The 14023-nt window shown below is 47.2% G+C and overlaps 1 annotated feature.

Moving 5' to 3' along the window:
• Positions 12719 to 12778: a silencer, noted in NCBI's record as "silent region_1395". NCBI's record gives its function as "represses an Ori minimal core promoter by ATAC-STARR-seq in GM12878 lymphoblastoid cells {active_cell/tissue: GM12878}" and the evidence as "EXISTENCE:reporter gene assay evidence [ECO:0000049][PMID:35858748]".

A 14023-nucleotide genomic window follows, 5' to 3' on the forward strand; every position in this document is an offset into this window, starting at 1 on the left:
CAAATATGCTGAGATCCTGTCTCTAATAAAAATGCAAAAATGAGCCGGGGGTGGTGGTGTGCACCTGTAGTCCCAGCTACTCAGGAGGCTGAGGCAGGAGAATCACTTGAACCTAGGAGGCAGAGGTTGCAGTGAGAGGAGATCACGCCACTGTACTCCAGCCTGGGCAACAGTGTGAGACTCCATCTCAAAAATAAATAAATAAATAAATAAATAAGAAAGAAAAAGAATAAAACACTGATGAAAGAAATCGAAGAAGACACAAAAATATAGAAAGATATTCCATGTTCCTGGATTGGAAGTATCAATATTGTTAAAATGTCTATACTACCCAAAGCAATCTACAGATTCAAAGAAATCCCTATCAAACTACCAATGACATTCTTCACGAAAATAGACAAAACAATCCTAAAAGTTGTATGGAATCACAAAAGATCCAGGATAGCCAAAGCTATCTTGAGCAAAAAGAACAAAACTGGAGGAATCACATTACCTGACTTCAAATTACACTACAGAGCTATAGTATGCAAAACAGCATGGAACTGGCATAAAAACGAACACATAGACCAATGGCAGAATAGAGAACCCAGAAACAAATTTATACACCTATGGTAAACTCATTTTTGACAAAGGTGCCAAGAACATACACTGGGGAAAAAAACATTCTCTTTAATAAATGGTGCTGGGATAACTAGATATTCATATGCAGAAGAATGAAACAAGGGAGGCAGATTGCACAGGAAAAAAAAATGGATGAAACTTGACCCCTGTCTCTCGCCATATACAAAAATCTAATCAAAATGGATTAAAGTCTTAAATCTAAGACCTCAAACTATGAAACTGCTACAAGAAAACATTGAGGAAACTCCAGGACATTGGTCTGGGCAAAAATTTCTTGAGTAATATACCATAAGAACAGGCAACTAAAGCAAAAATGGACAAATGAGATCACATCAAGTTAAAAAGCATAACAAAGGAAATAACAACAAAGTGAAGAGACAACCCACAGAATGGAAGAAAATATTTGCAATCTGATAAGGGATTAATAACCAGAATATATAAGGAGCTTAAACAACTCTTTAGGAAAAAAATCTAATAATCTGATTTTAAAATGGGCATAAGATTTGAGTAGACATTTCTCAAAAGAAAACATACAAATGGCAAACAGACATATGGAAAGGTGCTCAACGTCATTGATCATCAGAGAACTGCACATCAAAACTACAATGGGATATCATCTTGCCCCAGTTAAAATGGCTTATATCCAAAAGACAAGTAATAATAAATGCTGGCAAGGATGTGGAGAAAAGGGAACCCTCCTACACTGTTGGTGGGAATGTAAATTAGTGCAAGCAGAGTTTACAGATGCCTCAAAAAAACTAAATATAGAGCTACCATGTGATTCAGCAATCCCACTGCTGGGTGTATACCAAAAGAGAAAGGAAATCAGTATATCAAAGAGATATCTGCACTCCCATGTTTGTTGCAGCACTGTTCACAATAGTCAAGATTTGGAAGCACGTTAAGTGTCCATCAGCAGATGAATGGATAAGGAAAATGTGGCACATATACACAATGGAGTACTATTCAGCCATAAAAAAGGAATTAAATTCTGTCATTTGCAACAATATGGATGGAACTGGAGGTCATTATGTTAAGTGAAATAAGCCAGGAACAGAAAGACAAACATCACATGTTCTCACTTATTTATGGGTCCTAAAAATCAAAACAGACCAGGGGTGGTGTCTCATGCCCGTAATCCCAGCACTTTGGGAGGCTGAGGTGGGTGGATCACCTGAGGTCAGGAGTTCAAGACCAGCCTGGCCAACGTGGTGAAACCCCATCTCTACTAAAAATGTAAACATTAGCTGGGCATGGTGGCTGGCACCTGTAATCCCAGCTACTCAGGAGGCTGAGGCAGGAGAATCACTTGAACCCAGGAGCCGGAGGTTGCAGTGACCCAAGATCACGCCATTCCAGCCTGGGCGACAAGAGCAAAACTCTGTCTCAAAAAATACATAAAAAATTAAAAACAGGCCGGGCACGATGGCTCACGCCTGTAATCCCAGCACTTTGGGAGGCCGAGGTGGGAAGATCACGAGGTCAAGAGATCGAGACCATCCTGGCTAACATGGTGAAACCCCATCTCTACTAAAAATACAAAAAATTAGCCGGGCATGGTGGCACGCACCTGTAGTCCCAGCTACTTGGGAGGCTGAAGCAGGAGAATCGCTTGAACCTGGGAGGCGGAGGTTGCAGTGAGCCAAGATTGCACCACTGCACTCCAGCCAGGGCAACACAGCGAGACTCCATCTCAAAAAATAATAATAAAAATAAAATAAAATAAAATAAAAATAAGTAAAAAAACAAAAATAAAAATAAAAACAATTGAACTCATGGAGATGGAGAATAGAAGGATGGTTATCAGAGGCTGGGAAGGATAGTAGGGGGATGTAGGGATGGTTAATGGGTACAAAAAATAGCTAGAATGAGTAAGACCTTGTAGTTAATAGCACAACAGGGGGATTATAGTTAATAATAATTTAATTGTACTTTTTAAAATAACTAAAAGAAGATAATTGGATTGTTTGTAACACAAAGGACAAATGTTTGAGGGAATGGATACCTAATTTTCCATGATGTGATTATTACGCCTTGCATGCCTACACCAAAATATCTCACGTACCTCATAAATATATACACCCACTATGTACCCACAAAAATTAAAAATAAAACAATTTTTTTTTTTGACAGTCTCGCTCTGTCGCCCAGGCTGGAGTGCAGTGGCACCATCTCGGCTCACTACAAATTCCGCCTCCTAGGCTCAAGCAATTCTCCTACCTCAGCCTCCCAAGTAGCTGGGATTACAGGTGCCCACCACCATGTCTGGCTAATTTTTGTATTTTTAGTAGAGATGGGGTTTCACCATATTGGCCAGGCTGGTTTTGAACTCCTGACCTCAAATGATCTGCCTGTCTCGGCCTCCCAAAGTGCTGGGATTACAGGCATGAGCCACCGCACCTGGCCACAATTTTAAACAAGTATAAATAAATAAATAAATAAATAAAACTGTATCAGTGGACTTTTCATACTCTGTTACATTATGATTCATTGGTTTCTCTTGCACTTTGCATAGATCCTTTACTCTTGCATAATTTTGTAATATTTGAAGATATTAATATTGACTCACTGAGTGATGCTAATCTTCCAACTGTTGACACTTTATTATACAAATGCTTCTCGACTGACTTCTGATGGGGCTACACCCCCATAAGTCCATCGTAAGTTGGAAATATTGTAAGTCGAAGTGAGTTTAGTGCACCTAAACCACCAAACATATAGCTTGGACTAGCCAACCTCAAACATGCTCAAAACACTTACATTACCCTGGCCAGGCATGGTGGCTCATGCCTGTAATCCCAGCACTTTGGGAGGCCAAGGCGGGCAGATCACGAGGTCAGGAGATCGAGACCATCCTGGTTAACATGGTGAAACCCTGTCTCTACTAAAAATACAAAAAATTAGCTGGGCGTGGTGGTGGGCGCCTGTAGTCCCAGCAACTTGGGAGGCTGAGGCAGGAGAACGGCGTGAACCTGGGAGGCGGAGCTCACAGTGAGCCGAGATCGTGCCACTGCACTCCAGCCTGGGCGACAGAGTGAGACTCCATCTCAAAAAAACAAAACAAAACAAAACCCACTTACATTAGCCTACAGTTGGGCAAAATCATCTAACACAAAGCCTATTTTATAATAAATTGTTGAATATCTCATAAAATTTATTGAATACTATGCTGAAAGTGAGAACAGAATGGCCGTATGGGTACACAAGTTGGGGTTTCTATCAAATGAGTATCGCTTTCACACCATTGTAAAATCAAAAAATCATTTATTGAACCATCATAAGTTGGGGACCATCTATCCAATAAGAACAAATAAAACCGCCAGGTGCGGTGGCTCACACCTGTAATCCCAGCACTTTGGGAGGCCGAGGCAGGTGGATCACGAGGTCAGGAGATTGATACCATCCTGGCTAACATGGTGAAACCCCGTCTCTACTAAAAATACAAAAAATTAGCGGGGCGTGGTGGCAGGCACCTGTAGTCCCATCTACTTGGGAGGCTGAGGCAGGAGAACGGTGTGAACCAAGTTGGTCCCTGAGTAGTGGCCCCACCCCTTAGAGGGGTGGGCAGCCCCCCTTGTATGCCTGTCAGGCAGTAGGGATTTCTGGATGTCCACAGGTGTCAAGGTAATTACTAGGTCCTTGGGGAAGGTTTCAGGTAGTCAGGTTGTGTTGACTTCATCCCTGCCCTCAGGGCACCCACAGTTCCATAGGGCAACAGGACAAAAGCACATGCAATTAACAAAAACACAGACAAACTTTTAAAAGGGGAGTAGTGGAGAAGGGGCTGGGTGAGTCAGGGTTTCCTAGAGAAGGTAAGCTACAAGAGACGAAGATGGGAAAATATGATAGCCTGAAGGTGGACAGACTCAGGAACAGGTCTGAGCAGCTGAGAAAAACATCTGGATCATTCTGAGGATTCAGCAATTTGGAGTTGATGCAGGGTAGAAGTTGAGTTTCAACAAAGGGCTCAAAGTACAAGAGTGGTGTGTTGCCAATGGGGTTCTTGGTTCTTCTTCTTTTTTTTTTTTTTTTGAGACAGAGTTTTGCTCTTGTTGCCCAGGCTGTAGTACAATGGCGCGATCTCGGCTCACCACAAACTCCACCTCCCAGGTTCAAGTGATTCTCCTGCCTCAGCCCCCCGAGTAGCTGGGATTATAGGCAAGTGCCAACACACCCAGCTAATTTTGTATTTTTAGTAGAGATGGGGTTTCTCCGTGTTGGTCAGTCTGGTCTTGATCTCCCAACCTCAGCTGATCTGCCCGCCTCAGCCTCCCAAAGTGCTGGGATTACAGACGTGAGCCACGGCACCTGGCCCTTGGTTCTTCTTTTAATAAACATTTGTTGAACACCTACTCTATGCCAAACAGCATTCTAGTGGACAAAATAGACAAATTCTCTGCCTTCAATGAACCTTATACTCTAGTGATGGGAGACAGACAAGACAAAAATAAACATTTAATATACCAACTAAACCTGCCCAGTGGCTCATACCTGTAATCCCAGCACTTTGGGAGCCCAAGGCAGGAGGATCACTTGAGGCCGGAGTTCAAGGTCAGCCTGGGCAACATAGACCTCATCTCTACTAAAAATAAAAATAACATATATTCACCAAGTAGTGAAAAGTACTATGAAGAAAAGTATAGCAAGGTAAGGGGCTAGAAGGTGACAGGCTGTACTGTGTCATATAGCACGATCAGAAAGGCCTGTCTGAGAAGGAGACATTTGCACAGAGACCTGAATGACATACAGAAGAGAGAAGTGTAGATATCTGCTGAGAAAGCGTTTCAGGCACAGGAACAGCAAGTGCAAAGGCCGCGAGGTGGAAACGTGCCTGGCACAGGGGACATGCAGGGTCTGGGGGCAGGATGGAGTGAGTGTGGGGAAGAGAGCAAGGAGGCGACATCAGAGAGGTGGCAGGAGCCAGATGGTGTGTTGTAACCATGCACTGTAGTCATGCTGGTTAAGCAACATGGTGGGCACAGATGGATCTGAATGTGAACTCCAATTCCGCCTTCATTTATCGGTTGTGTATAATCTTGAGCAGATTAGCCTTTCTTTCATTTAACCCCATTTCATTTTACTGAAACAGGGTGTATTAGTCAAGGGTTCTCCAGATGATCAGAACCAATAGGGTGTGTGTGTGTGTGTGTGTGTGTGTGTGTGTGATCCTGGTGCTGCCCCTCAGGAACTCTCTCTCTTTCCATGTGTATGTATATGGCAAGAGAAAGAGAGGGAGAGGCACAGTGGCTCACTCCTGTAATCTCAGCACTTTGGGAGGCCGAGGTGGGAGGATCACTTGAGCCCAGGAGTTTGAGACCAGCCTGGGTAACATAGCAAGACTCCGTCTCTACAAAAAAATAAAAAATAAAAAATTAGCTGGGCCTGGTGGTGCTTGCCTGTAGTCTCAGCTAGTCGGGAGGCTGAGATGAGAAGATCACTTGAGCTCAGAAGTGTGAGGCTGCATGACCTATAACAGTGCCACTGCATTCAAACCTAAGTGAGAGTGAGACCCCATCTCTGCCAAAAAAAAAAAAGGAATTGTTTCACACCATTATGGAGGCTGGTAAATCCAAGATCTGCAGGGTTGTGGGCAGACTGAAGACCCAGAGAAGAGTCAAGGTTCAGTTCAAGTCTCAATGCTACGTGCTTCTAAACTCCCTCTTGCTCAGGGAAGGTCAGTCGTTTGTTCTGTTTGAACCTTCAACTGACTGGATGAGACCCAATCACATCATGGATGGAGGGCAATCTGCTTTACCTAAACCCTACCAATTTAAATATTTAAATACTAATCTTTCACTCTCTCTCTCTCTTTTTTTTTTTTTTGAGACAGAGTCTTGCTCTGATGCCCAGGCTGGAGTGCAGTGACACAATCTCAGCTCGCTGCAACCTCCGCCTCCCCAGTTCAAGTGATTCTCCTGCCTCAGCCTCCCAAGTGGCTAGGATTACAGGCCTGCGACACCATGCCTGGCTAATTTTTTTTTTTTTTTTTTTGAGACGGAGTCTTGCTCTGTCACCCAGGCTGGAGTGCAGTGGTGCGGTCTTGGCTCATTGCAAGCTCCGCCTCCCAGGTTCATGCCATTCTCCTGCCTCAGCCTCCCGAGTAGCTGGAACTACAGGCACGTACCACCATGCCCAGCTAATTTTTTGTATTTTTAGTAGAGACGGGGTTTCACCATGTTAGCCAGGATGGTCTCGATCTCCTGACCTCGTGATACTCCCGCCTCGGCCTCTCAAAGTGCTGGGATTACGGGCATGAGCCACCACGCCCGGCCCATGCCTGGCTAATTTTTGTATTTTTAGTAGAGACAGGGTTTCACCATGTTGGCCAGGCTGGTCTCAAACTCCCGAATTCTGGTGATCCACCCGCCCACACCTCCCAAAGTGCTGGGATTATAGGCATGAGCCACCTCACTCAGCCTTAAATACTAATCTCATCCCAAAACACTGTCACTGAAATATCCAAAAGAATGACCACATTCTGTCACTGCACTGTGACAGCCAACTTGACACATAAAATTAACCATCACATGAAGTAAGAATATTGCTCTTATGAGGTTGGTGGAAGGGTTAAAATTGAGGATATCTATAAAGCATGAGTACAGTGACTGGCAAGTGGTAAATGTTCAATTAAAGGTAGTTGTTGTCATCACAAAGGGAAGAAATAATGTTTGTCAAATGCCTAGTATGTCAAGTGCAATGCTAGGCTCTTCTGCACTGTTATTTAATTAAAATCCACGTTACCACACACTGAGGTAGGTATTATTATCCCCATTTTACAGTTAAGGAACTTAATGTGCAGAGGGATCACTCACCTTGCCCAAGGACCCTCACCTGGTAAGTGTCAGGGCCAAAACTAGAAATTAAGTCTGTCTGATTTCAAGAAGTGGGCTCTTTCCCCCTGGGGCCGGAGGCTGAAAACAGAAAGGAGGGGTCTCCCTGGGGCGTCACTCCTAGTACCCTCACACACAGACATACACATACCTCGGTTTCAGCAATTTCCTTGAAAAATCCTGAGGCCCCATGGTAACTCTTTTTTTTTTTTTTTTTTCCAGACAGAGTCTTCCTCTGTAGCCCAGGCTGGAGTGCAGTGGCACAATCTCCGCTTGCTGCAACCTCCACTTTCTGGGTTCAAGCTATTCGCCTCCCTCAATCTCCCGAATAGCTGGGATTACAGGCATGTATCACCACACCCAGCTAATTTTTGTATTTTAGGTAGAGATGGGGTTTCACCATGTTAGCCAGGCTTGTCTCAAACTCCTGACCTCAGGTGATCCGCCCGCCTAGGCCGCCCAGAGTACTGGGATTACAGGTATAAGCCACCACACCTGGCCCCCATAGTAACTCTTAACCCAGAAAAGGGGAATGTGGAAGGGTTTATTTCTGTAGGATCTGGGCCTCTATGGACAGGAATCCTGCCCTCCAGCTCCTTCTGACAGTGCAGCCTCTTCCTAAAATGGATAGGGTAACCTTTGCCAGCTCTTCTCTCCCAACTTACCTGATATAAGAGTTCTCAGCTGGGCGCGGTGGCTTACGCCTGTAATCCTAGCACTTTGGGAGGCCAAGGCACATGGATCACCTGAGGTCAGGAGTTCGAGATCAGCCTGGCCAACATGGTAAAACCCCATCTCTACTAAAAATACAAAAATTAGCCGGGTGTGGTGGTGCACGCCTGTAATTCCAGCTACTCAGGAGGTTGAGGCAGGAGAATTGCTTGAACTCGGGAGGTGGAGGTTGTGGCGAGCCGAGATTGCACCACTGCACTCCAGCCTGGGCGACAGAGGGAGACTCCGTCTCAAGAAAAAAAAAGAGGAGTTCTCAGAGAAGGGCTCCTCACAGACCATGAGGGCCATTTGGCTCAGGCCTTATTGACACATAAGGCCTCAAATTCAGACTTCTGATGTTATCTCCAAGTGTGGTTACAGTCACGCTGTTACTCTGATAGAACAGAATGTAAGGACTTACCATAAAATTGATTTAACTTTTATTATGGAATTTTCAAATATATACAAAAGGAGGGCCAAGTTCGGTGGCTCATGCCTGTAATCCCAGCACTTTGGGAAGCTGAGGCAGGAGAATAGCTATACACACACACACACACACACACACACACACAAGTAGAAAGAATAGTACAATGAATCTGGTATGCCTATTATCAGAAGACATTTCTTTTTTTTCAACTTTTATTTTAAGTTTGGGGTACATGTGCAGGATGTGCAGGTTTGTTACATAAGTAAATGTGTGCCGTGGTGGTTTGCTACACAGATCATCCCATCACCCAGGTACTAAGCCCAGTATCCATCAGCTATTCTTCCTGATGCTCTCCCTCCCCTACCCCTATCCCTCTGAAAGACCCCAGTGGTGTGGTTCCCACCATGTGTCCGTGTGTTCTCATCGTTCAGCTCCCACTTATAAGTGAGAGCATGTGGTGTTTGGTTTTCTGTCCCTGTGTTAGTTTGCTGAGGATAATGACTTCCAACTCCATCCATGTCCCTGCAAAGGACATGATCTCATTCCTTTTTATGGCTGCATAGTATTCCATGGTGTATATGTACCATGGTGTATATAGTATTCCATGGCGTATATAAACATAGTATTCCATGGTGTATATGTACCTCCATGGTGTATATTTTCTTTATCCAGTCTATCATTGATGGGCATGTAGGTTGATTCCATGTCATTGTTATTGTGAATAGTGCTGCAATGAATATACACGTGCATGTATCTTTATAACAGAATGACTTCTATTCGTTTGGGTATATATACCCAGTAATGGGATTGCTGAGTCAAATAGTATTTCTGCCTCTGGGTCTTTGAAGAATAACCACACTGTCTTCCACAATGGTTGAACCAATTTTCACTCCCACCAACAGAGTAAAAACGTTCCTTTTTCTCCGCAACCTTGCCTGCATCTGTTGTTTTTTGACTTTTTTTTTTTTTTTTTTTTTTTTTTTTTAGACAGAGTCTCGCTCTGTCACCCAGGCTGGAGTGCAGTGGCACGACCTCAGCTCACTGCAACCTCTGCCTCCTGAGTTCAAGCGATTCTCCTGCCTCAGCCTCCCGAGTAGCTGGGATTACAGGCGCACACCACCATGCCTGGCTAATTTTTTATTTTTAGTAGAGACAGGGTTTCACCATGTTGGTCAAGCTAATCTGGAACTCCTGACCTCAAGACATCCACCCGCCTTGGCCTCCCAAAGTGCTGGGATTACAGGCGTGACCCACTATGCCCGGACGTTTTTTGACTTTTTAATAGCCATTCTGAGTGGCAAGAGATGGTGTCATTGTGGTTTTGATTTGCATTTTTCTAATGATCAGTGATGTTAAGCTTTTTTTCATATGTTTTTTGGTCACATGTATGTCTTCTTTTGAGAAGTGTCTGTTCATGTCTTTTGCCCACTTTTGGAGGCTTTTTTTTTTTTTTTTGAGACAGAGTCTGGCTCTGTCATCCAGGCTGGAGTGCGGTGGCTCAATCTCGACTCACTGCAACCTCCACCTCCCGAGTTCAAGCGATTCTCCTGCCTCGGCCTCCTGAGTAGCTGGGATTACAGGCACGCACCACCACGCCTGGCTAATTTTTGTATTTTCAGTAGAGATAGGGTTTCACCATGTTGGTCAGGCTGGTCTCGAACTCCTGACCTCGTGATCCGCCTGCCTCAGCCTCCCCAAGTGCTGGGATTGCAGGCGTGAGACACCAAGCCCAGCCCCTTTGCCCATTTTTTAATAGGGTTGTTTGTTTTTTTCTTGTAAATTTGTTTAAGTTCCTGTCACAAGACTTTATAAAATAGGACCTGCAGTACCCTGTAAAGGAAAATTTTCTATAAATTCTGTAATGATCTTGTGGATAGCCAGGTGCAGTGGCTCACACCTGTAATCCCAGCACTTTGGGAGGCCGAGATGGGCTGATCACCTGAGGTCAGGAGTTCGAGACCAGCCTGGCCAACATGGTGAAACTCCATCTCTACTAAAAATGCAACAAAATTAGCCAGGCGTGGTGGCGCATGCCTATAATCCCAGCTACTTGGGAGACTTAGGCAGGAGAATCACTTGAACCCAGGAGGCAGATGAAGGTTGCGGTGAGCCGAGATAGTGCCATTGCACTCCAGCCTGGGCAACAAAAGCAAAACTCCGTCTCAAAAAAAATAAAAACAAAAATAAATCTTGTGGATAGCATAATTGTATTGTAATTTTGTGTGAAAAAGTGTTAATCTGGCTGGGTGCAGTGGCTCCCGCCTATAATCCCAGCACTTTGGGAGGCCTAGACAGGAAGATTACTTGGGGCCAGGAGTTTGAGACCAGCCTGGGAAAAACGCTCTTCCAAAAAAAAAATGTGTTAATTTATCAAACGTAAACGTGCCTGTTTTTCTCATTTCCAAGTGTATCTGAAACCTCCACAGACAGTAGGGACCTAGACTTCTCTCCATCTTTCAGAAGTCGTGTCTCCAAGGGAGCAGTTGCTGAGATCTGTGGGTCGTTTCCCACCCTGCCCCTGGCCCCCTGCAGAGGCTGGGGTGGGAACAGCTGGCTCTTCAAACCCTGCCCAAAGCTCTGAACTCTGCCTCCTGCCAGTGGTCAGGCCTCCTCCACCTGACCCTTCACCCGAGGTGATGGGATGCCTAACCATAAGGCCAGCTGGGGGGCTTCTCTCTCTGCCTCTGCAGGAACTCAACCAAATAGCATTTACAGAGCAACCTCTATGTGGCCAGCTGGCTTTCAGCCCTGGGGGTGGGAGGTGCGGGAGTGGCTTTGGGAACCTGATCCCGATCTCGGCACTGCCCCCTGAGAAACTTCCAGGCTGCTGGGAGAAAAGCAAAGAAAGGTACCTAAAGCAGAGCTATTAAGTGCCCCAACTGTGCCTATGTGAGAGTCCCACCATTGTTTGCTTGGGAGGCAGATCCTAGTAAGCCTAAGTCAAGGAGGAGTGCGCACAGGGCAGGCCAGCCCGGAGGTCCCTGAGGGCAGGGCCTCCAGGCTTCCCATTCTTTCGCAGTTCCCACAGCGCTCAGGCCCCACTGGGCTCATAATAAGCTTCAATGCCCGCTTTTGACTGAACCTTCCCCTTTGTATCTGTCTCTGTGTCTCTCAGCATCTCTGTCTCTACGGGTCTCTGGCTCTCTCTTGTTTCCCAACATCCTTCCCCAGCCCCTGGGGAGCAGAGCTGGGGGAGCCCGGCAGTGGGAACGGGACAGCGTCCTGTTCTCACCAAGGACAATAAGGGCCGGAAAGGGCTGGAGCCAAGGCCTGGCGCAGACTCCCCCTCCCTGCCTGCCCTGGGCGCCCCCACCCTCCCGCCCTGACCCGCCAGCACGGCCTAAGTGCCAGTCCTCAGGGAGTCAGCCTCCTTGCCCTTGGTCTCACATTCCTACTGCTCTCCCTTTTCTCTGGAGGCATCCCTTCTGCCCCCAGGAACCCGCAGAGCGAGCGCCCTCCCGCACTCCCCGCAGCCCCATCCCCTGCATTATTTACTCCTGTTTCCGGAGCTGGCTGCGGGCGCCGGCGGGTGTTAGGGCCACGTGTGAGGGAGCAGGAGGAAACATCTGGCTTCCCTCTGTCCCCCAGGGGCGGGGACGCCTCTCTTTCCCTCAGGCCTACCGCCTCTCTCTCCCTCAGGCCTACCGCCTCCTCCGGGGTGGAACTGAGCCCCAGAAGTCCAGGGGCCAAGAGGTTAGCACCTTTGCCCTTCTCACCCTCAGGGCTCTGGCAGCCATGGAGTCCTCACGCCCCCTTACTTAATGATGGTGATTAGGTGGCTGTGATACCCCTGCCAGGGTTAATTGGCAGGTCAGGTGCAGGCAGCCTGCAACCAGGCAGGGTGCAGAGCTGCGACGTTGGCGCCAACCTGCCTTGTAAATGTACTCATTCCCTGAGGAAGGCGTCATTATTCCTGGGCCACATGCTGCCCATGGTGCCTACGCAGTGGGTGGCAGTAGGTGCTCAGATCCCTTGGCACTGCCCTGGCACCTGCTCTCCGGCTCCTCCCCACCCTCCCCTAGCCATAGAGATGATGCTCGCTGCTGGTCCCCACCAAAGCCAGCTCTCGTTGTGGAAGGCATGATGCCCTCTGGTGGCCGGATCCCCAGTCTCCCCCCATCCCGTCCCCCGCCACTCCCTTCCCCCCTCCCCGCCCTAGGCTGTGTCTGTGCTCACCTGGACTGGGACCTGACCCTCTGCCCAGTGCTCCCACGGGTTAGGACAAAGTCGAGGTTTGACAGTGAGACTTAGAGCCAATCCAGCCTCCCTTTAGGCCCAGAGACCAACTTGGACAACCTCGTCCTCTCCCAGAGGGTCTCATATATCACAACCCACCGCCCTCCCCAACCATCAGTACGGGTGAGTCAGAGCCAGATCTTCTCAGGGAGGCTCTCTCTGGTCTCCACTGAACTTTCCGCCTCCACTCCCAGCCTAGGGGGAGAAGAGGCTTAATTCAGGATTCAGTCCTTCCAAATGGACCAGTCTTCCGAGTCTTCTAAGAAGGCTGGCTTCCACACTGACGGACCCAGCAGCAACTAACGCCACTCCCGGCCCTCAGGGATAGCTTGCCTAGGAGGGTGCCGCTGGCTTCCAGGAGGCAGACGTGAGTCCATAGCGCCCCCTGCAGGCGTTTTGGATAAACTGCCTAGCACATCCTCCTTGGGCAGGTTACGGAAGGGCAAGTGTTCTAGCCAAAGATGGGAGTGGAGTGGGGTGGCCTCTAATCCCTGACCAAAACTCCTCTACTCACTTCTTCATCTTCACTGAGTCTTATTCCCTAACTCAGGCACCTATGGACAGGATTTTGTTTGTCAGGGCAGGTTATTTCATTCAACTAACCCACCTTTTTTTTTTTTGAGACAGAGTTTCACTGTCGTTCAGGTTGGAGTGCAGTGGCGCAATCTCCACCCACTGCAACCTCCACCTCCTGGGTTCAAGCGATTATCGTGCCTCAGCCTCCCAAGTAGCTGGGACTACAGGCACACACCACCACACCTGGCTAATTTTTGCATTTTTCATAGAGATGGGGTTCCCCATGTTGGCCAGGCTAGTCTCAAACTCCTGACCTCAAGTGATCCACCCACCTCAGCCTCCCAAAGTGCTGGGATTACTGGCTTGAGCCACCATGGCTGGCCCAACCCACCAGTCTTTATTGTCCATTATCAGGCTCTGGAAAAAACAAAGCTGACCAAGATGAGGTGTATACCCTAAAACACACGCCATTCAGCACGAGGGACGGCACCTAGGACGGGCACTCTGCATAGAGTTGTTCCTCATGACAGAGCACAGACAGGGCAGGGTGCAAGTAGCCACCTGCATTTCCATCAAGGTGGGCTCAGAGGTTGGTGTCCTTGCTCCTATTGTTTTATATACTTCGCTACAATTTAGGAAGTTCCCATTGTCTTGGCTACAAGATGGGGAAAAAATGAAAGCA

Source organism: Homo sapiens, chromosome 1 (genome assembly GCF_000001405.40).
Source record: "Homo sapiens chromosome 1, GRCh38.p14 Primary Assembly".
Classification (NCBI taxonomy): Eukaryota; Metazoa; Chordata; class Mammalia; order Primates; family Hominidae; genus Homo; species Homo sapiens.